Source organism: Homo sapiens, chromosome 5, assembly GCF_000001405.40.
Source record: "Homo sapiens chromosome 5, GRCh38.p14 Primary Assembly".
Taxonomy (NCBI): domain Eukaryota; kingdom Metazoa; phylum Chordata; class Mammalia; order Primates; family Hominidae; genus Homo; species Homo sapiens.
The window spans coordinates 39,048,377-39,076,050 of record NC_000005.10 but is presented as its reverse complement, the minus strand read 5'-3'; the positions used below and the strand labels follow the sequence as shown (position 1 = coordinate 39,076,050).

Here is a 27,674-nt window from a genome sequence, read left to right as displayed (position 1 = left end):
TATGTTCCTTTTATTTTTCTTCTTACCACTTATTTTACAAATGACATATATTAACTATAGGATATTTAAAAAGTAGAGACAAGCAAACAAGAACAAAAAAGTGCACGTGTAATTCCACAAATGAGGGGAGAAAATCAGCTAACATTTTCATGTATATTTTCAGACTTTTTTCAACATACATGTACATATAAAATATTTTATAATGTATATTTTTAATTTCGTACATATTTAAACTTTTATTATAAAACAGGAAATTTGTAATATTTTGCTTGATTTAATATCATGAACATTATTTCCTATTACTAAGTCTACCTCTTCACTTTTAATCGTTGACATAATTTACATAATCCCTACCTTTGGTCATTTAAGTGTTTCCAAATGTTCACTCTTATTAACAACTTCAACAAATATCCCCAATATTGCTTTTTTTTTCTTTTTTAAAGTAAGCAGAGAATTGGAATAAATTAGAAATCCAGGGCACTTACTCATCCAACAGATATTTATTGAATACTTATTTGTGCCAGATATTGCATTAACTGGGAGCTGGGAAAACAGAACTGGTTAAGGCTAGATCTCCACTTTTAATTAACTTTCAGTCTCATGGAATAGAAAGATGAGCTGAGGAACTGGAGAGGACAAATCGCTCCTCTCTTTAAAGTAAATGTAGTTCAAGAGAAAGCTGCTGGGTCAGTGGCCAGGTGTGTGTGTGTGTGTGTGTGTGTGTGTGTGTGTGTGTGTGTGTGTGTGTGTGTGTGTGTGTGTGTGTACACATACGTATTAACTAAGCAGTTTCTAGAATTAAAATCCCTAATGTTAATAGGCTTATGCATAAAATAGATTAATCCACAACACCTGCATGAGCCACGATCCTAGGAGCTGCAGAGCCATAAAAGCCGGACACAGTACCCAGCAGCCTCGCCTCGGCTCCCGGCAGAGAACACCCTCTCCCCGGCCTCCCGGCGCTGGCGCGATCCCACCGCGGGGACCGCCGCCCTGGTCCCCGGCCGCTGCACCCCCTTCTCGCGTCCTACGCCTGGCGGCCAAAAACAAAACTGCCTAACCACTTCCACTTGGAGAAGCCCTCCTAGCCGAGAGGGGCATTCTGAAGATCAAGGGCGAGGCTGGAAAACAAACTTTGTTACGTGTTAACTTAGTTGGAGCAAAGCGATTCCAGGAAAGGAGTCTAAAACTGTGCGCAGCGTTTTTATAAAAAAATGTTTCAGTGGATACACGGGGGAGCGGGGCCGTCTATGGCAGGGCTTCAGAGCAAGCAGGAGACTGGCAGGCCGGCGAGAGCAGGTGGCCCGCCGGCCGCATCCCGGCCTCCTCCTCCCCGCTCGCCTGCATTTGGACGACGGCTTCCGCGGCGGCCGGAGGGGAGCATCCTCTACACTGCCAACTCGCATCAATGGGACTTTCCTCGTGGGAACTGCCCCTCCCGGCGGACGTGCCCTCCGGGTCCGGCGTGGGCGGGCGGGTGCCGCGAACTCCTTGCAGACCTTGGGTCGGCTCAGTGCTCCCTCAGCGCTGGGGCCGAGCCTGCACCACCCGCCGCCGTCGCCGCCGAGGGGGCGGGGGAGGTGCCGCGGGGGGCGGGCGCGGCGCGCGGGGAGGGGAAGGGGTTCTCGCGCGATTGGGCGAGGTTTCCGGTGTTGTGACTGAAACCCGTCAATATGGCGGCGATCGGCCGCGGCCGCTCTCTGAAGAACCTCCGAGTACGAGGTAAGCCCGCTGCAACCCTCACTCCCCACCGCCCGGCGCCCGCCACCCCTGGCACTTGCCTTCCCCTGGCCCTGGGTTGGGGAGCGAGCCGGGGCGCTGGCCGGAGCCAGGGCAGCCGCAGCTGGCCTGCGAGCCAATCCTAATTGGGGCTGTGTGTCTGTTTCGCGCAGGGCGGAATGACAGCGGCGAGGAGAACGTCCCGCTGGATCTGACCCGAGGTAACGCGGGGCGCCGCGGGCGCCGCGAGGGCGCGCTGCTGGGGAGGAGCCGGGTCCGGGGCTGGGGGCCAGAGGCAGGGGCGGGCCCCGCACGGGACCGGCGGGGTGCGGGGGCCAGAGCCGGAGCCCCGCCTGCCGGCCCGCGGGAACCGAGCCCGGGGCCGCCTCGCCGGACCCATCCCCCTACCCAGCGCCCGCTTCCCTCGCCCGAGCCCTTCTCCGGGCCTCGGGCTGCTGCGGGTGCGGGGGAGCCCCGAGTGGAACTCGGCAGACCCGGCGACCCTCTGGGCTCGAGCTCCGGCAGAGTGGTTTGCACCTATCCCGGAGTCCGGCAGCCCAAGCTAGGGGCAGCTGGAGGGAGGTAGAGGCTGTTATTTAGGTTGCAGGAGGATGTTTGAGGGAAGAGCGACCACATCCTGCCCTCCCCGTCCCCGGAGCAGAAGCCGGACCTGCTCGGTGCTTGCCGACTGCGTGACTGCTTTCCCCTTTGCCCACCGTCCTGTGGGGACCCGCAGCATTGATAACTTGGTAGTGAAACCTAGAACTGGTCATTACTGCTAAATGTCTGGTTTATGCTGTTTCCCTTCTGCTTCCCTTTCCCGGGCCGCTGGGACTGTAGTTGGCTAAAGACCGCCCCCTCACCCTGCTGCAGGTTCATTGTTTACCTTCTGCAGTGGAGATGGGTTTGTTTACACCTTCCGAACTGGGGAAACTCGGGTGATATTTTTAATGACCTAATCCCGTTACTAGCCAGTGTTTCCTCTATCACTTACAGTACTAGAGTTTATTCGACATTATCTCGTTGAAGATTTAGTAGTTACGTACAAGATTCTTTTCTCTTCCACGGTAAACAGGATTGAGCCTACTGATTCCGACGAAGTCATATTTCACACGGGCTGTAGCTTGGAGTGTAACCCGGTTCAGCTGTACAGAATCAGTTTCTGAGGTCTATAAAACACCTTAGGAAGTAAACAAAAAAACTTGTTGTAGACATTCTGTATGAGATCAGTTTTTTACCCTATGTCGTACCTGACGTAATGACTGTTATCTACAGTAATTTGTTAAAGCTGGGCTCCTTGTTGACAACGGCTAGAGTGAAAGCATAGTGCATTTTCTAATTTGTTTTATTTTGCTTATCACGATGTAAGATTACTGTTTTATAAACTGAATGGTCAGCTTTCACTTAGCTACAAGAGTACATTTTTATAACTTAATATTTTATTCTGAAAGTTCAGGGACTTAGTTTTGGGTGAACTAGGTCCTTTTACAAGACAGTTTCTAAAATATAATACAATATAGTAGAGCTTAAATCCTGAAAATGGCTACTAATTAGATTATCAATGCACTAATTTCCACCATTTTTTTCAGCAGATCGGTTTTGAGAATTAGTATAGAAAGATGTAAAGCTTTTGACTTCTGTGCAACTGTTTGGAAACTTGACTATAACACACATGTGAAAAATCTATATAAAATAGATTCACTAGAAAACTTCCTAACAAGGATAACTTCTACAATTTCAGGTCTGTAAAAGATGTAATTAGTGAGTGATTTAATTTATATACAGGCATATGTGTTTTAGATGAAGGTGAAGGGAGCCCTTAATAAACTTGAGTTTAACTTGTGCATTAAAAACCTGCTCAGATGTGGTGCTGGAAATATATAGTTGTATTTTAAATTGAGTTCGTCGAGCTCCTATATATAGTGGTTTCTCTGCTTGGTGTCAAAAATGTTGAGTTGTGGAAGAGCTTAGGTACACATCTGATTTGATAATTTTGGCTTACTCCAGTTTTACTGAGGCACACAGGTAACTGTTTACTATTTAAAATGCCATATTAACTGAGAATTTAGTAAGCACCTATGTCCATAGGTATTTCCAGGTTAATATAGATAGTGCAGAAAATGCTGTTTTCGGCTTGCCCTGACAAAATGTACTTCAGTTTGGAATAAAGTATACACAGCCATTTAAAACTGATTGCAAAAATAAAGAGTGAGGGATTGTTTGAGATCTGTATTTCTAAATCATAAGGAAGTTTGGAATTAATCTGAATCAGTCATTTTATAGTGATACTATTGTTTTAAAAAGTTGCTGTTGTGACAGACATTTCATTGTTCAAAGAAGGCTTGAAGAAAATTCATGAGGAATTAAAGTTTAGTAATAATTTGAGAACTGTGAGGCAGTTTGGGTTGCAGCTGAAGGGCAGCTGTTTGTGGATTAGATTACAGTATGTAAAAAGATAAAGTTTGGGCAACCAAAAATTTTTTTGTTTAATGCCAAGGCAGTGTTTGCTTTTATTCTTATTTTTTAAATTTAATCTTTGAGAGATTCATTGTGTAGTTACCTAATAAAGCTCATTATAAAATAGAGGACATGGTCATTGTAATCCCTAAAGGATCCATCAATGTGTAGTGAAAAGAGAGTTGACTATAAAGTCAAATCATTCTGGATTGTAACCTCAGCTGTGAGATTTAATAGTTGGGTGATTTGGGGCAAGTTATTTGACCTTGCTTTACCCCTGATTTCTTCATTTCTAAAATAAGAGATAACTTCAAAGGGTTAAGAATGTGAAAAGTAAATGAGCTAGTTCTTAATTAAAGTACTTGGCATAAGACCGGATACTTTGTAAGTGATATTTAACATTAGTTGCCTTCCTACATTGTGAAATCACAGTTTTAAAACTCACATTAAAAATACTTTAAACGGTTGTTTTGAATATTATAAACTTGTTAATAAGGAATTATGGTATTCGAGCTTCTTTTTTTTTTGAAACATACTGTTATACTAATTGGGTATAGTCTATCTGAGTTAGAGTTCTTGAATATAACAATTGTAAAGCAATCTGTGACATTACCAATAAATTAAGTCTAAGCGAAGTGCAGTATGTTATATTCACTTAGGATAAAATGTGATACTGTATTTCATAGAACCTTAGAATTTTTGTCTCTGACACCAGGACATTTCATACTATTTAATAATGACTTGGCTAGCCTTGCAAGCTTCTTGAGGCTCAGAAGAATTCTAAGTTTCGTTGGTTTTGGTACTTGTGTTAGTGCTGTGGTTCATACATAGAGTGCCTCAGTTAAAAATTGTTGATGGATTAATTTTTATCTAGTTTAGGAACTTCATTATAGTAGACTTTACAGTCAGCGTATTGGTAATGGTTGCTCTGAGTTTTGTTCAGACAACTACTTAATTTGTGAAAGTCCCCAATATTTGCTAATGATATTATTAAATACTGTCTGTAATGCATGCCAAAATGTATTTTGAAGCCCAAATGCTTCCTCTCGCCATTTGTACTGCAAGGATAGACTGTCTTATCAGTCCAGTAGTGCATCTCTTTACTGGTACTGAATCACTTGAAAAGATACAGTGTTCTTCCTGGGTAAACCCCTCCTGGTATACTTTAATTATTGTGTTCAAAGTGAATTCCCAGAATATGGACACACTAGTTCAAATATAATTATTAGAATATAATTTATTTAAAAGTATAGTTGAATTTTATAATTTTTGATTAACTCCTTTACGTTTCCACTAAGAACTAAAAAACTGACTCTCTTGGTTGCTGTCTAATACCTAGAAAAGCAGAAAGGTTCCAAAATGATGTAGATTTGAACTCTAACTTTTTTTTTTTTTATTTGAGACGGAGTCTCGCTCTGTCGCCCAGGCCGGACTGCGGACTGCAGTGGCGCAATCTCGGCTCACTGCAAGCTCCGCTTCCCGGGTTCACGCCATTCTCCTGCCTCAGCCTCCCGAGTAGCTGGGACTACAGGCGCCCGCCACCGCGCCCGGCTAATTTTTTGTATTTTTTTTTAGTAGAGACGGGGTTTCACCTTGTTAGCCAGGATGGTCTCGATCTCCTGACCTCATGATCCACCCGCCTCGGCCTCCCAAAGTGCTGGGATTACAGGCGTGAGCCACCGCACCCGGCCCTGAACTCTAACTTTTTATTTTCCAGTTTCTTCTGGTTAGGAGTTTTCTCATTTGTTTAATCATTCAGTTAGACAAAATGGACATTGACTGAACATTTATATACCAGATGCTGAATTAACTGCTGGAAGAATAAAAATGAGGAAACTCTTTCCCCCTTTTAAGGGTTTCATTGGAATAGACATAAGGAAATGATTGCAGGTGGAAAAATAAATTAAGTAATCAAACTATATAGGAAACAGAGGTAACCCAATAGTAGCCAGAGGAGAGAATGATTAACTGTCTGGTGGGTAAAAGGATCAGAGAAGTCTCATAGAGGGGTTGACTTCTTAAAAGAATAATGGTGGACATAGTGGAAGGAAATATGTGCTCTCTTGGGAATATACCATACCCTGGGAAGGGGAAAGTTAGGAAGCAGAGGAGCTGCCTAGGGTGCTGCTGATATAATCTGACGGATGATAGAAGACTGGACCATGGCGTTGGCTACAGAAATGAAGTCAAATACATATTAAAATGGAAGAATTATCTAATTTGCTTTCTTCAGATTTCAGACTGATTTTGTAGTCCCCCCACTCTATGCAGTGAATTTTATTTCTTTATTAAAATGTAGAGGCTGCCCATCCAGTGTGAATTCCTCAATTGTCTGCCCAGACTTACTGTCTTTACCCTGATTCAAAGAATAAAGCGTTGCTATTCTTTTCCAAGGGTAACTTGGAAAAACGTTTATGCTTCTAATACTGTTTCCTCAAGATTCTTTGTAGAACTAAGATCTTCTCTTCATTTCTCCCTTACAGTTGGCTCAGTTTTCTCATGTTCAGCAAGCAATTTTTATGTTCTTCACATGGACCAGGTACTATGTTAGGCATGGGCTGAAAGTGGGAGATATGGAATGATAACGACAATATTACAAAAACTTTTTTTTGAAGGCTCTACAGACAGAATAGTTTGTCTTCACTCCACAACTTTATTGCTTAACAAAGTCTTGTAAGCAAAACTCTCCCTCTGTACTGAAAATAATTTCTTAAAAGATGCTAGTAACCTCTTGCAAAATTTATGGGCATTTTTAAGTTCCACATTCTACTATTATACATACTATTACTATAATACTAGTTTTGTGCCAGGCACTGATTTCATTATTTTACTTAATATTCAGCTGTTTTAGCTACACTTATTGTCTCTGTTTTACAGTTGAGAATATAGGCTTTGAAATTTTAAAGGGCTAAAACTCAAACAGGTAACTTAACCAGTGTCACAGGGCTTAGTGAGTGACTGGTATGTGTCTGATAATCATCTCAGAGTTGTGATGTGTAAAACTTTGCACCCCAAAGTGTACCCACTTTTCACATTCTAGGTATTTCCGCCATCCTCTGTTATTCAAGCTAGAGATCTGCTGCTTATCCTCTTTGTTGTATTGCTAAACTCCTCTGATTAGCTTCTGAAATAGCTGTTGAATTCAGTCTCTCCTTCTGTTCCCATTGTCAGTTCATATCCTCATTATGTCATCGTGTGGCAGTAATATCTTCTCACCTTTTTTCACTCGGTCTACTGTATGCCTGCCAGGATTATTTCCCAGAAATCTAGATCTGATCTTGTTGTTCTCTTAAATAAAAAAACAAAACAAAACACATACACACATTTTCTAGGCTAATTTTTGCTCACAGAATACAGTCCACATTTCTTTAGTTTGGCATTCAAGGCCTTTTTTGATTTACTCCCATATGGTTTTCTTCTGTACTATTTTAACCATACACATCTCAATATATCTGCCTCTCTGCATAGTTCACTTCATTACATACAGTCCTTCTCAGAGAGGATTGGGGAGAGTTTGCCAGTCTAAAGCACCAACCCCCATTCCACCTCTTTCTCCGTGGAGACTGTATGCCCCTACTTGAGAATCTTTCAGTCAAAGAAGAATGTTTGCTATTCCTTGAACATGGCATGTAGTTTAATATTCGCTTGACCTTGCGTAGGTATTTCCTTTGCCTTGAATTGCATTTCCAGCACAGTTTATCTATAGAAGTCCTAATTCTTTAAGGTTGAGGTCACATGCCATTTCTGGAGATCTTTCCTTATCCCAGTGGGAATTTATTGCTTCCTTCTCTGCTTTTTTACGTCTTTATTTATTATTTTCTAAATTGCAGTTACCATTGTCTTACTTTAGTTCTTTGTCCAGTTTCTTCCCCCTTCACTAGATCTTTAGCTTCTTGAGGGCAGGAGGCCTGTTTTACCCATTTTTAACATCCGCTTCCCCCAGCATCCATCAGATAATCACTGAGGCATTAATTGACTGGAAGAAGGGAGTGAGAGACATGGGAAAAAGAATAGTACAGTATTAAGGAGATTAGAAGGAAAAGAGTACTTTAAGATTACTGTCCTAAGGGACAATGAAATTGATGGTGCCATAAAATGGAGAAGTCATTTTGGGAAGGATGATAATGAGTTCAGCTTTGCACCTTGAATTTCACGTGATTATATAAATGTGTAAAAGGTGGCAGCAAATACTGGAATGGAGGTTTTAGTTGCCCTGAATTTCTAGTCTGATTGTTCTGTGTGTAAGATGTTGAGAAAAGGGATATAAATGGAAAAAGAGCTGAAGATTTGAATGTATGAAAATAGATAAGATGATGAGGGTGTATATCATAGGGTAGGAATCAATAAGAAGAAAGGAGTCAATAGAAGAGAAGAGAGAAAATTGTGATCTCTTAAGCTAAAACAGTTTGGATATTTGTCCCCACCCAAATCTCATGTTGAATTGTAATCCCCAATGCTGGAGGTGGGGCTTGGTGGGAGGTGTTTGGGCCATGGGAATGGATCCCTGATGGCTTGGTGTTGTTTTTGCAATAGTGAGTTCTGGCAAGATCTGGTTGTTTAAAAGTGTGCACCTACCCTCTTACTCTTTCTCACTCCTACTTTGCCATGTGAGATGCCTACTCCTGCTTCACCTTCCATCTTGAGCAGAAACACCCTGAGGCCTCCCGAGAAGCAGATGCTGGCACCATGCTTCCTGTACAGCCTACAGAACCAATAGCCAATTAAACCTCTTTTAAATTACCCAGGCTCAGATGCTTCTTTATAGCAGTGCAAGAACAGCCTATTACAGAAAATTGGTAAGTGGGCGTGGAGCATTGCTCTAAAGATACCTGAAAATATGGAAGCAGCTTTGAAACTGGGTAACAGGCAGAGGTTGGAAGAGTTTGGAGGACTCAGAAGACAGGAAAATGAGGGAAAGTTTGGAACTTCTTAGAGACTGGTTGAATGGTTGTGACCAAAATGCTGGTAGTGATACGGACAATGAAGTCCATGATGATGAGGTCTCAGGTGGAAATGAAGAACTTAGTAGGAACTGGAGCAAAGGTCACCCTCATTATGCTTTAGCAAAGCACTTGGTTGCATTCTGTTCATTCTGTAGGGACCTGTGGAAGTTTGAACTTGAGAGTGATGACCTCTGGTATCTGGCGGAAGAAATGTCTAAGCAGCAAAGTGTTCAAGATGTGTCCTGGATGCTGCTAACAGCCCATGCTAAGATGTAGGAGCAAAGAAATGACTTAAAGTTGGAATTTGTTTTTAAACAGGAAGCACTGCATAAAGGTTTGGGAAATTTGCAGCCTAGCCATGTGGCAAAGAAAGAAAAAGCTTTTTCAGGGGAGGAATTCAAGCAGGCTATAGAGCAACCACGTGCTAGAGATATTTGCATAATTAAACACATGCCAAAGTGCTGATATCCGTGAAGTTGGAGAAAAGGCCTTCAAGGCATTTTAGAAACCTTCACAGCAGCCCCTCTCATCATAGGCCCAGAGGCCTAGGAAGAAAGAATGGTTTTGTGGGCCTGGGCTAGCCGGGCCTTGCTGCCTTGCACAGCCTCAAGACACTGCTCCCTGCATCCCAGCCACTCAGGCTTCCAGCCTTGTTCAAAGGGGCCCAGGTACAGTTCGGGCTGCTGCTTCAAAGGGTGCAAGCCATAAGACTTGATGGCTTACATGTATTATTAAGCCTGCAGGTGCCCAGAGTGCAAGAACTGAGGCTTGGGAGCCTCTGCCTAGATTTCAGAGGATGTATGAGAAAGCCTGGGTGTCTAGGCAGAAGCCTGCTGCAGGGGTGGAGCCCTCATTGAGGATCTCTATTAGGGTGGGGCCAAGGGGAAATGTGGGGTTGGAGCCCCCCAGAGTCCCCAGTGGGGCACTGCCTAGTGGAGCTGTGAGAAGGGGCCTACCATCCTCCAGACCACAGAATGGTAGATCCACTGGCAGTTTGCATCCTATACCTGGAGAAGCCACAGGCATTCAACTAAAACCTGTGAGAGCATTCCTGGGGGCTAAACCCTGCAAAGCCACAGGGCAGAGTTGCCCAAAGCCTTGGGAGCCCACCCTTTGCAGCAGTGTGCCTTGAATGTGGAACATAGAGTCAAAGGAGATTATTTTGGAGCTTTAAGATTTAATGACTGCCCTGCTGGGTTTTGAACTTGCATGGGGCCTGTAGCCCCTTTCTTTTGGTTGATTTCTCCTTTTTGAAATGGCAATGTTTATCCAATGCCTATATCCTCATTGTATCTTGGGAGTAAATAACTTATTTGTGACTTTACAGCCTCATAAGTGGAAGGGACTTGCCTTGTTTCAGATGAGACTTTGGACTTCAGAGTTAATGCTGGAATGAGTTAAGACTTTGGGAGACTGTTGGGAAGGCATGAGTTTATTTTGCAGTGTGAGAAGGACATGAGATTTGGGAGGGGCCGTGGGCAGAATGATACAGTTTGGATATTTGTCCCCACCCGAATCTCATGTTGAATTGTAATCTCCAATGCTGGAGATGGGGCATGGTGGGAGGTGTTTGGGTCATGGGAGTGGATCCCTCATGGCTTGGTGCTGTCTTCGTGATAGTAGGTTTTCACAACATCTGGTTATTTAAAAGCCTGTGGCTCCTTCCCCCCAGCTCCCTCTTGCTCCCGCTCTGCCATGTGAGATGCCTGCACACGCTTCGTCTTTGCTATGAGTAAAAGCTTCCTGAAGCCATCCCAGAAGCAAGTGCTGGTGCCCTGCTTCCTGTATAGGCTGCAGAAATGATAGCCAATTAAACCTCTTTTCTTATAAATTACCCAGTCTTAGGTGTTTCTTTGTAACAATGCAAGAATGGCCTGATACATAAGCCAGGAGAAGAGTTTTGAATTGAAGGGGCTGCTAGACTGTTGCATTGAAGTTGAAGTCCAGAGAACGAGGTTCTGCTTTAATCTGAGGAAGATATGGCATGCTATTTAACCTCTCTGGCTTCAATTTCCTCACCTCTAAAATGCATACTACTTTATACTTGCAGCACTTTAGCCTCCTACCTTTGTAATTCTCACATATCACTACAGACCTGGAATATTGAAAAGGTTAAAAAGAAAGCATTTGTAGCCTTGTTAAATCACTGTGAGTAGTAGTCCCACAAACAATAATGAATACATGTAGGAGTGGTGGTATTTCATAGCACTTTAAATTTAAATTACAGTCAACTCTCAATTTCCTTTTAAGTGATCCACCTGCAGTGACTTGCTGCCTCCTCCCGCTCCCAGGTCTCAGGCTACCAAGAATAAGACTGCGAAAAGCACAGTGGGGTGAGCGAATGATTTGCTTGCCTGTGTATCTGTGCCTCTGTCACCAAGCTATTAAATACAGTCCATTCTCAATTACCTGCCTTAAAAAGATGAATAATGGTAGAAGAATGCTAAATATATAATCTAAATACTTTATATTGGTGAGAAAATATTTTATGTTCTTTTCTCTCCCACAATAGATTGATGTATATTTTCTTTTACATTTTATTTGAATTATTAGCACAGATTTTTGTTTCCTAAGCAAATACTGTTAGTGGAAGAACATAAACAGGTTAAAATATTTGTTAATCTGTATGAATAATTGAAGTTGACTGTTAATGCTTTTTGGGTCATCTACAGATACTGTTATTTGTGTTTTTTTGTTACAGTGGCCAGGTTAAAGTTGAATGGCTCCTTAAAAATTATATCCATACAACAAATGTAGTTATAAAATTACAGACATAAAAGTAAATTGAAAATAATTGTGTAAAACTAGTTAATACGTATAACATTCATATACCCAAAGTAATAGGGTTGAAAGAGAACCTAAATATAAGTATATTCTTCGTATTCCTCTTTTAGAGGCTTCCAGCCAGATTGCGTAAACTGAGCAATGTACCTGGAATGATGACATTTATATAAAATATAAAATTGAGGATATTCTAATGCTTTAAACATATCCTGTTAAAGATGTCAGTAAGAAATACAGAAAACGTTTTTTTAACCTTAATTACCTGGATTTTCAAGAATCTGCGTCCTTCAATTACTTTTCCTTTTTTTTTTTAACCCCATTGTGTTAATTTGGATTTGTAATGGTTTTATTAATGTCAACCAGTATATTTTTGATCACATGGGTTAATTATATATATATTATATGATCACATGGGTTAGTTAATACTGTTGTGGTTGAGGAAGGCATACATCTTCCTTCAGGGAGTTTCTGTTGGGATATAGCTCTATCAGTGTACAGTAAAAGACAGTAGTATTTGAAGCATATGCCAATTATCTTTGTAAGGGACTCTAAAAGCTAGAGGAATTCAGAAAAAATGGGAGATAGGTAAGGAATGACCTAGAAGGAAGATCTCTTAGAAGTGAAGATATAATGACAATTGTAAGACCTTTGCATAAAAGAGTAGCAATTCAAATAGGTAGAGCTCTGCACCAGGGTTTTAAAACTTTTAATTTTTTGAATGAACGTTTTCCTGGTACATTATTTAGTATTTCAAGATAATGTTGAGAAAAAGTTAGGGGTAAGTTTTGTTTTCCTGGATATAAATCCCTTAACTATTGAAGAATGATTATATTACAGACAGGCTCTTCTGGCCTTAGAAGGTACTGCTGGACTGAAAGATTTGGAGCACACTGTGAAATACTAATTGTTTGCGTGTACTTGTGACTATGAGTCTATAAATGTCTGCATTCCAGACCCAAGCCTAGGTAATTAGTAATTTTTTTCTTCCATTGTTTTGTAGTGCATATGTCTTGCACCTTCAGTAATACTGTTTAATGGAGGGAGTGTGCATGTTCAAAGTCCTTTGTAAATTTATCAAACTTATTTCTAGATGTATGCAGTCTGGAAATAGAATATAAATGGGATGGGTGGTGTTTTTATTTTGTTCTACACTAAAATCACCAGATTTTCTGATCTCAAAATTTAAACATGTAACCTGACAGTCAGAATATTTGAAATGAAGATTATCCTGAAAACCACAGAATGTTTCATTGCCAAATTCAGACACCCTACCCAGCCCTCTAGTGATTTAGGTACAGGATAAATAGTGTTTGAGGAAATTATTGCTCTATTATAGCAGCAAAACAAGACTTCAGGGATTTTAGTCATCTTGCATTTAATCCAGTGAAATTTCATGTGTTTCCTATAATGAATAGAGAATGAAGAGACATAGAAGCTGTAAACAAAGAAGGTTGCCAAGTAATTTAGTTACTAAGAAGGAACAGCTTGTCAGATAAAAGTGTATTTAGCTGTTTTAGATGTGTGCACATACATATTTTTATCAGTAGTTTCATACTTCAAAAAATCACATCTTAAAATAGTATTGCTATTTATTTCCATGCTTAGTGTTTGACCCTCATATAATAAAATTTTTAATTACACTTTTTTTCACTCATAATTCTATAATGCACTTTCTAATGTTTACCACACTACCGTCACCACCACTCCCCTCCCTCAAGAAGAAAAAAAAAGGAAAAATGAAAAACTCTGAGGGGAATGGAGTTGCAGGGAGAGACTCCAGTGGTTGGAAACACATTTTGAGGTAGGTGAGCTGTGAACTCTTAACATTTAGCCATGTGGTAGTTTCTGGATATGTAATCAGGTAGCAAGTGGAATATTGTGAAACTGTTTGTTCAGTGTATGTGTTATAAGTTTTTAATCATATCTGTCACATGTGGTATTAGTATAAAATTATAATAATGGATGTTTGAATACTAAGCTATTTCCTACCTTGTTTATTTAGAGTGACGTATTACTGTAGGCTATAACTTTCAGCGGTGTTTTTAATGGCATAACAGTAGAAAGCAGGTCAGATTAATTCTTATGTCATATAAGATTTCATATGTTATATAAGAATAATTCTTACATGACAATTTGTAGTGAGTTAAATTTTAGATTGGAATAGTTTTAAAAATGCTTAAACCACCTTATTTTAATAAAAACCTTAACATTGTCTTTCTTTTTTCTCATGGGAAAGTTTGTTGTTTCATGGTCATATTTCAACATTGTTTTGAATACACAAGTATATGTTATTATTTTACCTAGCAGAATGAAAAAAGTTATATATTTGAAAAGATTCTGGTTGTTCTTCATATCAAAATTAAAAGGAGATGATTAAGATTCAGGTAAACTGTGGCAGTTGCCTTTTGCTATGCATTGTTTCTTCTAATAGTTATTTTGTTTTACTAAAAAAACTCTACTTGATTTTTGATTCCGGGAGGAATTCTTTGCATACATCAATAATTGTTTTTATATTGGAAAAGTACCACCGAGAAAAAATGTAATTACCTTTAAAACAAATGTATTGCTGCTAAGTGTTCACCTGGAGTGCTTAAATATGTATGAATTTCGGAAAGGTATGTGCATATATGAATCTAATGTTTGTTTCTAAGAATATTTGGAAGCTACTTTAGAAATTAGTAGACCTCCCACTTAAAGCAGGAATTTTCTCTGCAATATCAGACAGCTGTCATCCACCATCACTCAGACCTTCCACTCATGGGTAGGTTATTCACAGTGGTTTGTTCCTTTGTTGAGCAGCTATGTTTGTTGATAAAACTCTTACATTGAATTAGCAAAAAATCTAATGAAAAAATAACTTTCTGCAGTTAGTCCTAGTTCTTTTATTTGGTAAGTGTTTGCAAATAAAAAGTAGTAGATGTAATCAGGCTGGACCCTGCTGTATGCTATTAGAGATTTGGTTACCCTTCTCTTCTTATACACAGGCCACTCACCAAGTATTTATTGAGTACTGGTTATGTGTCCAGCATTGTTCTAATTGGTAAATGTTTAATCGTCTTTGAACACAAGAAATAGTAGCAGCAGCTGCCATATTTTGAATAATGTATGTTGGGGAGTGTGTTAAAAACATTACTTAAATTCTCATTGTCTTCCTACATACTTAGGAGAATATGTATTAATACACCTGTGTAACTGATGAGGAAAATGGGGCGATGCCTAACTAGCCCAAGATCATATAGGTATTATGAGAGAGAGAGGTGGGGTTCAGAAGCCTTTCTTTGTTTCTGATTCTAAAACCCATGCACTTACCCCTTTGCAGTCTTCCCAAAGACAGCATCATGTATAAGATAAATCATATGACTAAGACTAAATGAGTATTCTATGTATTGTAGAGTATTGATTTGGAACCCCCAGGAACCAGGTTATTAACTGAGATCCGAAATGTATATTTTAGCCATTTCTATACAGTTGTTTCTAGAGCTGGTTCCTGTTCTTTTCTAACTTGAGAAAATACCAACTATTAACTTGAGAAAAAGTTAAAGTATGTTAACTTTTTCTCCTTGGCTAGGGTCATCATTATGAATATTGATTTTTGTGTTGGGGTGGGGTGAAGACAATTTATTACTACCCTCTGTAATACCTCACCGCTCTTTTGATTCCTGTATGCTTCTACGTTTCTTTCAGCTGTCACTTTACAATGCAGTTATTATCCCTATATTTAGGAGTCCTTTAATTCTTTGTTTTTTACTTTTATTGTGCTGTAGAATGGCAACTGTTAAGTGTGGACTTACGCTAATATATGTAAAATAGGATAAATAGGTTGTGATGAAGAATTAAGAGTCTCTACTATGCATAACATGTGAATAAACTTGGTGATGATACATACTTTGAATTTTTATTGTCATTTTTTGGAGTGCTTACATTTGAGTACAGGTTTTCCAAATAGGTAATTGCCTCATAGCATAGTTCAGAGTAGGTGAAGTATGACTTGATATGGAGTTGGCTTATACGTATGTAATATGGATAGTAGGATTATATGAAGATAGCTAATAAGTTACAAAATATAACTAATATGGACAAAATAACATCTAATAAGGTACTGATTGCATGATATGAAGACAGTCTAGTATTGACTAAAAGCATGGTGTCGTACCCAGACAGATCTAGATTTGAATCTTGATCCTGCCTTTGAGAAGTTAAGGGCTCTGCTGGACAAGTTGCCTTTTCTGAGCGTGTTTCTTCATCTCCTTTTGAGATAACACTTATTTGAGGATTGAAGGAAATGTTTGTAAAATATTTATTACATTTTTAGCACATAGATGTAAAGAAATAGATATTACATATTCTTATTTGTATGGTCAGTGAAAGCAAAAGAGATGAGAATGGAGAGATTGATGTGAGCTGGAAAAAAAATCATAGAAAGTGGAGGATTGTTTCAACCTTGGATGGGTAGAATGTGGTTAAATCTAGAGGAAATAAGGCATAAATAAAGGCATGACACATTTTACTGAAAGGAACCATAAGAATATAGAATTTTAGTATTAGATTTGTAGGATAAGGGTAAGTTGTTGAGGACCTTCAGAACTGCAGGGAAAACAGTAAATGTTATATAAAAACTTTCCTTTATTGAAAGATAGCATAGATCCAAAAAGTCTTTGTTATAAATGTACAATTCTGAGAATTTTGACAAATTGAACACATGGGGAATCAGAACCCAGATCAAGAAACATAATATTGCAATACCCTGGAAGCTCCCATTCTGTTTCCTTCCAGGCACTACTTTCCCAGCCAAGGAAGGCACTATCCTGACCTCTAATGCCATAGATTAGTTTAGCCGCCGGTTTTTGAACTTTATAAAATGTACTCATGCAGTAGATGTACTCTTTTTGTAAAGTTCAAAAACAGGCCAAACTAATCCATGGTGATAAACAAGAGTGTATGCTCTGTTGTATCTGCCTTCTTATGCCTGATGTTATGTCTTATCACCATGTTGTATATATAAAGTTATTTTAATCTAAGTCTGCTCATGTGTATCAGGTGTGTTATGATGTGGATGGATTCTTTAGGATTGTCAGTGGGTTTATATGAGTGGATAAAGTTTGAAGTAATTACAGTAATTCCACCTTAATTTAAAAATTTTAAATCATCTTCTCCATTTCTCTTCTGTGTCTTCAGCCTGAACTTTTCATTGAACAGGTTTTGGCCAGTTAATAATATGTCTAGATAGGTGAACTTTTTTTTGAATGACTGTTTAATGAAAAATAATCAAATTATTTATAAAGACTTCAAAACTACAGATTAGAAAGTTGAAAAAATTAGAATTGTAATCTAGTAGAAGTTTTGTGTTGACCTAATTATGTTTCTGGGATGATTACCAAAATCAGTTTAGTATTTCTACAGAGAAAAAGGGAAGATGATAAACATCCTCAGTTCAACAGTGTGCTCATGTGGAAATATCAATATTTGTTAATATGTTAGATTTACAACATGCAGTTGTAATTGTGCATCAAAGTTGAAAAGTTGTTAGAATACAAAATAGAGATCCTTCTCCTTGAAAGAGCATACATATATAAATATCTTTTCTGATTCTCTATTTTAAGAGTTCAAAATGAACCATTAGAACTGTCTTATACCACTCCGGGTTTTACATAGACGGAAGTCATAAAGTAATGTCATGGATTTTCTAATAGATATATTAGAACTTTATTAGACTGATAGTATCTAACATCTGATTGATACTTATAACCTATCTCTGTGTGATTGTTTCTCTTTCTGCCTTGTTTTTGTTTCTCTCATTGCTTTCTGTTTCTATTTTGCTATTTCTAGCCTTTCTTCAGATGACCCTTTAAATAGAGTATGCTATATAGATGAATTACATTTTTCTTTTGTTGTACTTGCTACCTCTTTATGTTCCCTGATTTAAAATAAGTTTTAATATTTAGATTTTTTTGTTGTTTTCAGTGATTATTTGCCCCCTAAGAAATAGTGATGTGAGAGTTGGAATAGAAAAAGATTCCACTGCCTTTCTTTTGGTGCTTGTCTCCGAGAAATTTAAACCGGGTATTTTGTAGGAAATTGATTAAATACCTGACAGCAACTTGGCAACATGTGTTGTTTTAGCATACACTTTTAAAATAAAGAAAATTTTTACTTATTTCAGTATGCAAAAGCACTAGAGTAAATATGAAAGTGAAACAAAAATACTGAAGTGTATGAAGGTAAAGAAGTTTCTGATGAAGTACATTTTCTAAATGCTGATAATTAACTATGAGTATTAATTTATTTTAAATACTTGAAGTGTATTAAATTTTTATACATACACTCTTTGGAAGTGTGGAAAACAGTGAGTTGGGAATTTCCTGAAGATGGGAACACTTAATATAACCTTGACAGATCCTTGCTGACTCTGAGTCTAGACTATTTAAAAAGTTCACTGAGCAGATTTAAACTGAGTGTAGATTATTAGCTACCAAAAGAATACTTGTTTTTAGTGGTGAATTTTAAGTGATTGCTTGATTCTATTAAGAGTGATATAATGCAGTAAATGTATATTTTTAACCAGGATTATATTATTTATTGCTCTTATATATACTGGCACATCATTTTCCTTTTTCCAACCATTTTAAATGACTTTCCTTAGAATAAAGCTGAAGTAGTGCAGTAAACCAGTGACCGTTCCACATGATCTGAACTTTGTCTAAAGTGATAATTTGATTATTAAAATATTACTAAATGTAGTTTATGGAGTGATGGATTAATTTCGCAGACATCCCAGAAATTATATACTTACTAAGTAGATGTCGTTTTCTTTTAAGCATTCTTCTTGCAAGGGACAGGATCAATGGAACCAACATCAATGGAACCATTGATGTTACTATTGTTCAAAACATTTTAAAATTCTACTTGTGAAGATTGCTAAAGCTTGTAAGGCCTTTAAATTTATCCTATATATTATTAGTCCTTCAAATTGCTGTTTGGTTTGTCCTTCAAGGATGAATTGGAGTTTGGGAAATGGTCAGATATAATCGGACTCAAATTTGGGAAGTTATTAATTCACTAATTTATTCACTCATGTATTTGAAAATAATACATTGAGCACCTGCTCTTTTCTCAGCACTGTATTACATACTGGAAGGTGGTATTTGCAAGGTAGATAATTACTTTTAAATAAATTGCCACTATATGCAATACTGTCATTGTAATCTAGTCCCTGGCTACCTCTACTACCATTCTCATTTCCTAACTGTCTCCTGATTCACTGTGTTTAGTGAAATGATTTCTATGCTGGTCATTCCTAATCATATTTTCTTTGACCCAAATTTGTACTTTTATCATATTCTTTCTGGATTGTTTTTCCTCCAATATTTCTATTACTTAATCCCTCACTGTTTAACTCTGTTCAAATGTCACCTTATCATCACTGAGGCCTTCTCTGATCACTGTGTCTGAAGTAGCTCCTCTTACTGTCACTTGTCATTTTTTTTTTTTAATCGTTTTGCCTTTTCTTTTTTGAGACAGGGTCTCGCTTTGTCATCCAGGCTGGAGGGCAGTGGCATGATCATGGCTCGCTGCAGCCTCGACCTCCTGGACTCAAGTGATCCTGTCACTTCAGCACCCCCACGTAGTTGGGAGTACAGGCACACGCCACCAAGCCTGGCTAATTTTTTGGTATTTTTTGTAGAGACAGGGTTCTGCCACGTTGCCCAGGCTTGTCTTGAATCGTGGGCTCAAGCGATCCATCTGTCTTGGCCCCCCAAAAGTGCTGGGATTGTAGGTATGAGCCACTGTGCCTGGCATTATTGCTTTTTCTTTCATAGCCCTTGTCACTACTGATATTACGGTATATATTTCTTGTCTCCCTGGAATGTAAGTTTTGTGAGGAGACAAGTACTTTGTTTTGTTCACCATTGCATCCTTGGTGCTTAGAACAGCCCTGGGACATAGTAAGTGCTGGGTAAATATTTGTTGACTGAATGATTGACTCTCAAATTTGTGTTTAAGCTTGAGGGCTCCTGACCAATTTTGCTGCTTACTCAGCATCGTAACCATGTCGTCAAGTACATCAAACCTAATATGTTTCAAACTGGCTAATTATCTCATTATTCTAAAAATCTTTCTGGGTTAAGAGAAGTACTTTAATTGGGCCAAATAAGACACCCAGGAGACATCTTAACCTCGTTCCTTGTCCTTATTCCACATATCCAATCTGAGACCAGATGGTAATGATTTTATCTCTGAAATACTTGCAAATCTGTTTTTTCCATTTCTGTTGCCATGCCTTTATTCAGGCCCTTATTATCTTTCCTGATGATTCTATTGACTTCGTAACTACTCTCCCTGTTCTAGTTCTGTTCTTTTCCAATCTGTTTTCTTCTCTGTAACCAACAAAAAGTTTCCCAAAAAGTCAATCTTCCCTCGCAGTGTTGAACATCTTCTTTATTTGGGCTTTTATAATATATTGCATTTTACCTTTCTTACAATTGGCATAATTTTATTCACATGTCTGCCTCTCTGTCACACTAGACAAATATTTGTTGACCTTTACTGTGTACTGGGTACTGATCTTTTGCTGCTGATTCAGTGGTGAAAAAAATATATTGAGTCCCTACCTTTGATGGACCTATAGTCTAGGGGGGAGAACACAGTAAACACATGAGTGCAGAATTTTAGGTACTGATAAATGCTCTTAATAGTGTAAAATCAGGTATGTGAAAAAGAGTGGGGGGGGGGAATTGTCAGAGAAAGCTTCTCTTAAGTAGTAGTGTTTAATTGATACCGAGGAGGCACCATGTAAGGGAGGAAAGTCTTCAAGTAGAAGGAAAAACTAGCCAAAAAAATGTGACTATCAACGAGACAGGAAAGAACCAGTATGGCTAGTGCTTGATGAATGAGAGAGAGAGTATGGGAATATGAGATTAGGAGAGACAGGGAGACAAGTAATAACTTGGAGAGGGTGGTACAACTGCAAAGGGAAGTCATTAGAGGGTTTCAGGCAGGAGTGTGATATGGTGAGATAATTTAGAAAAATCACTCTGCCCCTTGGACAATAGACTGTAGCCCTTGGAGCAGGCACTTCATAGCACATGCCATTAAATTAATGTTAACTGAATTAATAAGTGAATGAATGAATTCTTTCATTCATGTTACAAGACGGGCAAGATTATTCCATTTGAATCACTTGAAACTGAAGTAGTGTATTGTTTTTCAAGACGAGATAGCAAAACCAAACATTGTAGAAATGATAGTTGTATTAATAGATTTCCTTGTAAGTGATGTGTGTATAACCCTAATTACTTTAATATTTTTGAGTTATCAAGTAATGCCTGATTACTAATTTTAACAACAGCTCTTTTCACTGTGGGTGGAAATGCTGTATTTAATGAGTATATAACATAGAGTATTCTGCCAGTTTTTCTGAAGGTTGAGGTTACAAGATAAATCAGACCTTGCTCTTCAAGAACCTCCAGTTAGTTGCATGTTACTCAAAAAATGTAGACTGAATGGATGGTTAAGGTAGACTGACAAATCAAGAGGCCCAGAAGGGACTTCTTAGCCTTATATAATCTTTGTCAAAAATTATTCTATTCGTTTGATCAACTTTATGCTGCTGCTGCAGCTAGATGCTTTCATTTAGATGTTGAATCTATCCTTGGGAATATGAAGAAGTACTGAAAATAGCAGAATGAGTGAAGTTAGTGTTAACTTTATTCTCTTTAATATTAAATAAATTTTTATTCTGGATATGAGCGCTCCCCTTCCTCTCATTTATGTCAATCTTTCCCCTTATTCAACTTTAACTGCCACTGTCGTCCCACCTATCCAGCACTAAGACATGTGGGCTGTGAGTGCTTTGGAAACAATCTTTTTTTCTTGGTGCTGAATCAGGATGGCTTATAGGCAGATTTGGGGGAAATTCTTGTCTTTCATTTCACAGCTTTTATTCATATGTTCTTTGTATTTTTTTTTTAAGTGAATGTGATCCCGGCAATCTGTTCTTTAGCATCTAGATTTTCAGCCCGTTGTTAAAATTAAAACCTTTTTTTAACCTATTCTTTCTTTCTTTTTTGAGACGGAGTCTCACACCGTAGCCCAGGCTGGAGCGCAGTGGCTCGATCTCCACTCACTGCAACCTCCGCCTCCCGGGTTCAAGTGATTCTTCTGCCTCAGCCTTCCGAGTAGCTGGGATTACAGGCGCCCACCACCAAGCCCGGCTAACTTTTTGTATTTTTAGTAGAGACGGGTTTTTTTTTTTTTTTTGAGACGGAGTCTCGCTGTCGCCCAGGCTGGAGTGCAGTGGCGCAATCTCGGCTCACTGCAGGCTCCGCCCCCTGGGGTTCACGCCATTCTCCTGCCTCAGCCTCCCGAGTAGCTGGGACTACAGGCGCCCGCCACCTCGCCCGGCTAATTTTTTGTATTTTTAGTAGAGACGGGGTTTCACCGTGTTAGCCAGGATGGTCTCGATCTCCTGACCTCGTGATCCACCCATCTCGGCCTCCCAAAGTGCTGGGATTACAGGCGTGAGCCACCGCGCCCGACCCTTATTCTTGCTTTCTAATTCTGCGGATTTAATAAACATTTATTTAATAAATATTTATTTTTGTGCTAGGCACTGTGCTAGATCCTAAATATTTTTTAAAGAGGCTATAGCATGAGCACGTGTGCCTTTGGTAAAGTAAAATCATGGTTTGGGGTTGGCAGATACATGAGCCGTTGTGGTAGAAATTGCTCAGCAATCACTAGACTCTTTTCCTCTGAGTGACACTGAGGGTTCATAATCCTCAGAGTAGTATTCCTGGAAGCACTAGGGCCGACACTAGAGTTGAAACCTGATTTGCCATGACAAGTATAATTGAATAATGTCTGTGTTTTGGTTTGTTGACTGAGGGATATTTTGCACCTTTAGCAAATAGAGGAGGATTTAGCTACTTATTAAATTGTATTATTTTTTACTGTTAGCATTTTCCAGAGAAAGTTTTATTGGTTAGGTGCATCAGGGGCATTGAAATAGCCTAAAATAAATTGGAGAAAAACTATGAAAAAATTTAGCTAGTGATTTGTCTTATTTAAAATGTTAGTTCATGAAAGTGTTTGGATGTAATCTAATCAATTGGATACTCTTACAAATTTCATTGCTAAAAGTAGCATGGATGTGATTCTTAACTGATACTGTTATTTATTTGATATTTATCCCTTGGTCTGAGCAGGGCATTCTTAGTAAGCCAAACTTTGCACTAGAGAATGGCTGTTTGGGTTCAGCAATAGTGTAGGTGAAGATCATTGGTGTGGAATCGTAAAATAGAAGCCAAGTAAGCAGAGTTTAGAGCTAGAAGAAACTGATAAGAGATCACTTAATTTCAGAAGACTTTTAACAAAAGAAGGAGGCTCTCTAGGTACGAGAAAGGTAGATTCCATTGTCAATGTACTTTGAGGAGACTGACAGTATTAAGAGGACTACTTGAGTTAAACTAGTCAGTAATCTTCCCCAGGATCCCCACTGGTTTTATTTTATGTTTACATACATAAAATATAAACTGCAAATTATGGGAAACCTTATTTTAGATCTTATTGGTAATTTGTACAGGTCTGGATCAACTACAGTTTACCTTTGTGATACTGTAAAAAGTTCTTTTTTTATGCAGATAACCCTAGGATTATGATGGGATTACATCCTTTCAAACTCCCTAAACTCATTGTAAGTGAAAAATAAGTATTTGTAGACACGATAGGTTGCAAAAACAATGTCCAAAAAATGCTAATGACTGGGTACACTGTAGAGTGTTGGTTCATTCTGTTGCCCAGGCTGGATTGCAGTGGCAGGATCATAGTTCACTGTAACCTCAAACTCCTGGGCTCAAGGGATCCTCCTGTCTCAGCCTTCTAAGTAGCTAGGACTATACACGCATACCACCACGCCTGGCTAATTTAAAAATTTTTTTTTGTAGAGATGGATGTCTTGCTGTTAGCCAGGCTGATCTTGAATTCTTGTTCTCAAGCAGTCCACCCACATCAGCATCCCAAAGTGCTGGGATTACAGGTGTGAGCCACCACGCCTGGCCTATTTACCCTTGCAATCATGTGGCTGACTGAGATTTTGACTCACTACTTCTGCCCAGCATTATGAAGGAGTATCCTACCACATACTGCTGCTCAGGAAAAGATCAAAATTCAGAATTCAAAGTATGGTTTCTATTGAATGCATGTTGCTCTTGCAATATCTTAAAGTAAGAAAATTTTAAGTTGAACCATCATAAGTAGGTGACTATGTATTAATTTTAAGCTATTTTAGAAAATTAGCATATCACTCCTTTTTTGAAAATATACATTCCTAATTATTACTGTGAAATGAAAAGTGAGTTTGTAGAAGGGAAAATCAAAAATCACATTCTTTTTTTTTTGAGACAGAGTCTGGCTCCGTTGCCCAGGCTGGAGTGCAATGGCGTGATCTTGGCTCACTGCAGCCTCCGCCTCCTGGGTTCAAGCGATTCTCCTGCCTCAGCCTCCAAGTAGCTGGGATTACAGGCGCCCACCACTATGCCCAGCTAATTTTTTTATTTTTATTTTTAGTAAAGATGGGGTTTCGCCATGTTGGCCAGCCTGGTCTCCAACTCCTGACCTCAGGTGTTCCACGTGCCTCGCCTCCCAAAGTGCTGGGATTATAGGCGTGAGCCACCGTGCCCAGCCGAAATTCACGTTCTTGCTCCATAATTTGCAAGCAAATACCAGATGTGCTGTTAAGTTTTCTGAGTCTAACTTTTTTTATTTGTGAAAAGGGATAAAATTTTGTATATCTTACAGTGTCATTATGAGTATTGAGAAAATTATTTGTTTATAGACCCCAGCGTAGTGTCTGGCAAATGCTTAGATGAAAACTCTAAGAACAAGTGTTAATAAACAAATAACAGTTATTTATCCATTCTTTTGATCATGGACATTTGTGTTATTTGTAGTTTCTTGGTATTATATACAGTGATTTTATGTATAGTCTTGTATATGAATCCTGCTGCTTATATGTAAGTTTCTCTGCATTATATAATTTAGCGTGGAATTACTGGTTATATGCCGCGTGTGTGTGTGTGTAGGTGCGTGTGTGTGTGTGTGTGTGTGTATATATATGTATGGGGAGAGAGAAAGATTATCCATCTATATGTCTTTATTCTCACAGTGATAATATATAGGAATTGCTATTGATTCATACTTTTGTCAACACTTGGGATTATCAGACTTATTAAAAATATTTCATTATGAAAAATTTCAAACATACACATAATTCGAGAAAAAAGTATAATGAGCCCTCATGTATTCTTTACCTTCAACCATTATAAACATATGGGACAATCTTATTTCATTTGTATATTCTCCCACTTCCCTCATGGGTCATTTTGAAGCAAATCCAAGGTATATGTTATTTCATTGCAGATCATCAGTATGTATTTCTAAGGGATACGGAATTTTAAAATATACAACCACAGTGACATTAACACAACTGAGTAAATTAACAGTAAGTTCTTTGTAGGTCAGGCGTGGTGGCTCACTCCTGTAATCCAGCATTTTGGGAGGCCGAGGTGGGTGGATTGCCTGAGCTCAGGAGTTTGAGACCAGCCTGGGAAACGTGGTGAAACCTTGTCCCTACAAAAATACAAAAAATTAGCCGGGTGTGGCAGTGTGCACCTGTAGTCCCAGCAACTTGGGAGGTTGAAGCAGGAGAATTGCTTGAACCCAGGAGGTGGAGGTTACAGTGAGCCGAGATTGTGCCACTGCACTCCAGCCTGGGAGACAGAGAGAGACCCCGTCTCAAAAAAGAAGAAAAAAAACAAAGAAAAACAAAGCAGTAAGTTCTTTGTATTATCTAATATTCAGTCAGTGCTCAAATTTTCCTGATTGTTTTACAGATACTTAGAGTACTTTGAGTAATGATTCATAGGTCAGCATACTTTATATATATATATATTTATTTATTTATTTGTTTATATTTATATATGTAAAAAAGCAAGTTGTTCATCTAGATCACCTTCCTTTTGGGTAATCTGTTTTTCTGTCTATATTAACAATTTCTTTCAAACATCTTGAATAAAATGTGTTTAGGTGGTTATTTATTCTGCCTTTGGATTCATTGGGCATCCTGATTCTAAGTATTTCAAGTCTTTGAGTAATTCCAGAAAAGTGTCAGTCCTTGGGTTTTTGAGTATTGCATTTCCCCCATTTTGTCTTGTTACCTCCTTTATGAACTCTCATGTATGTTAGAGTTTCTCATTATCTTTCTTGGTTGTTAAACTTTTTTATGTGTTTCATCTCCTTTTTCCTGAGAAGCCAAGTTCTGTATAGTATCTTCAGCTAGGTCTTTCTTCGTTCATTAATTCTTCTGCTAGCAGTGTTTATGCTGTTCATCCCTTCCATTGAGTTATTTCAGTTATGATATTTTTATTTCAAGAAGTTCTACCTGGACTGCGCTCCCTCCCTCCCTCCCTTCTTTCCTATTCTGTCATGGATCTTTTTGATAACTTTTTTTTTTTTTTGAATGTTCTCTTTAGTGTTCTTTTTACTTCTTTTTTTCCCTTAAGCCAGAGGTTTGCAAATTATGGCTTGCAAATCTGGCTTGCTACTGCATATGTAAATAACATTTTATTGGCACATGGCTATGCTTATTTGTTTTAAGTTTTATCTGTGGCTGCTTTGGTGCCATAGTTGTGGAGTTAACTAGTTGAAACAGAGACTGTATTACAGACCTTTAAAGCCTAAAGTGTTTACTGTGTGACTCTATGAACAAGTTTACCAGCTCCCCTGTTTTAGATATATAAAACATAATTATTATTTCATTGAATAATTCTGATTTTTAGTCTTTTTATATCTTTTTTTTTCTTGTTTCTGTTTATAATGGCTTATTTTGCTGTTTACTTGTGTGTTCATGGTTTTTGGTTGTGCCCTATATTTGTTAGGTTACCCAGGCTAAGGGTGGTTATCTGGTTGGTTGGATGAGTTAGTGGGGAGTGATTGATGGTTGAGTTTGCTTCTGCCTGCTGCTTGGGAGCATTGTAGACCAAGGGCTACTTTAAATTCAGATTCTCACCTTGGTGTTTTTTTCCCTTAACCATGCAAGAGTACATTTATGTTCCAAAGTCACATGTGGTGGCTTCAGAGTCTCAGCAGAGTCTCTCTTGTTTGTTTTGTTTACAGTGTTACCCAGAGCTGCTTTTCTTTGCTGTTTACCTCTGTTGGATGTTTTTTAATTCACCTTTTTTCTTAGGATGTAGACTTTTCTAAGGTCTAACTTTATGCGTAACAAATTCCTTGTCTTGCATTGACTCAAGGGTTAGCCTACAGTCCTCATGGCCTGCTCTTAAGCTTTAGGAATAGGATTTCATGTGGGTTCTCTAAAGCAGAGCTTCTGAAATTTAATGCTTTGTTGCAGGTCCCAGATACCATCCTTAGATTCAGTGATTCACTAGAACTCATTATGGCAAAAAGATATGACACAAAATTAGCAAAGGGAAAAGATACATGGGGCAAAGTCTGGGGGAAACCAGCACAAGCATCTAGAATCTTCCCAGCAGAGTCACACAGGACATGCTAGTTCCCTCCAGTTATGAATTGTGACAACCCATGAAATGCTGTCAACCAGGGAATCTCATTAGAGACTCAGTGCCCAGGGTTTTTATTTGAGGAATTGCCAAGTAGGTAGCCTCTACCTGGCAGATAACAAAATTCCATACTTACAGAACAAAAGCAAGTATTTCATGTAAAACATATTGTTAGTATAAACAGTTTAGGTCCAGT

General features: G+C 38.7%; 1 protein-coding gene across 10 annotated transcripts in view, besides 4 other annotated features; it reads left to right on the top strand.

The window, feature by feature from the left end:
* Window positions 1,240–1,766: an enhancer, noted in NCBI's record as "H3K27ac hESC enhancer chr5:39074387-39074913 (GRCh37/hg19 assembly coordinates)". NCBI's record gives its function as "activates a minimal SCP1, AML or CMV promoter by ChIP-STARR-seq in primed H9 embryonic stem cells {active_cell/tissue: H9 hESC(primed)}" and the evidence as "EXISTENCE:reporter gene assay evidence [ECO:0000049][PMID:30033119]".
* Window positions 1,240–2,354: a biological region, named in NCBI's record as "H3K27ac hESC enhancer GRCh37_chr5:39074387-39074913".
* Window positions 1,455–2,354: a silencer, noted in NCBI's record as "silent region_15981". NCBI's record gives its function as "represses an Ori minimal core promoter by ATAC-STARR-seq in GM12878 lymphoblastoid cells {active_cell/tissue: GM12878}" and the evidence as "EXISTENCE:reporter gene assay evidence [ECO:0000049][PMID:35858748]".
* Window positions 1,652–27,674, top strand: part of RICTOR (RPTOR independent companion of MTOR complex 2) — a 136,480-nt gene continuing 110,457 nt past the window's right edge. For 6 of the 10 annotated variants that reach the window (NM_001285440.2, NM_001438248.1, NM_152756.5 and 3 more), the window contains exons 1-2: window positions 1,652–1,722; window positions 1,893–1,940. Coding sequence is in view for 8 of the 10 variants with exons in the window: in NM_001438248.1 (NP_001425177.1) it covers window positions 1,674–1,722; window positions 1,893–1,940 (97 nt within the window). In the remaining 2 variants the exon portion in view is untranslated. The remainder of the gene's footprint in view (window positions 1,723–1,892; window positions 1,941–27,674) is intronic. The other 4 variants (NM_001438249.1, NM_001438049.1, NM_001438247.1 and 1 more) reach the window with 1 other exon arrangement.
* Window positions 2,293–2,819: an enhancer, noted in NCBI's record as "NANOG-H3K27ac-H3K4me1 hESC enhancer chr5:39073334-39073860 (GRCh37/hg19 assembly coordinates)". NCBI's record gives its function as "activates a minimal SCP1, AML or CMV promoter by ChIP-STARR-seq in primed H9 embryonic stem cells {active_cell/tissue: H9 hESC(primed)}" and the evidence as "EXISTENCE:reporter gene assay evidence [ECO:0000049][PMID:30033119]".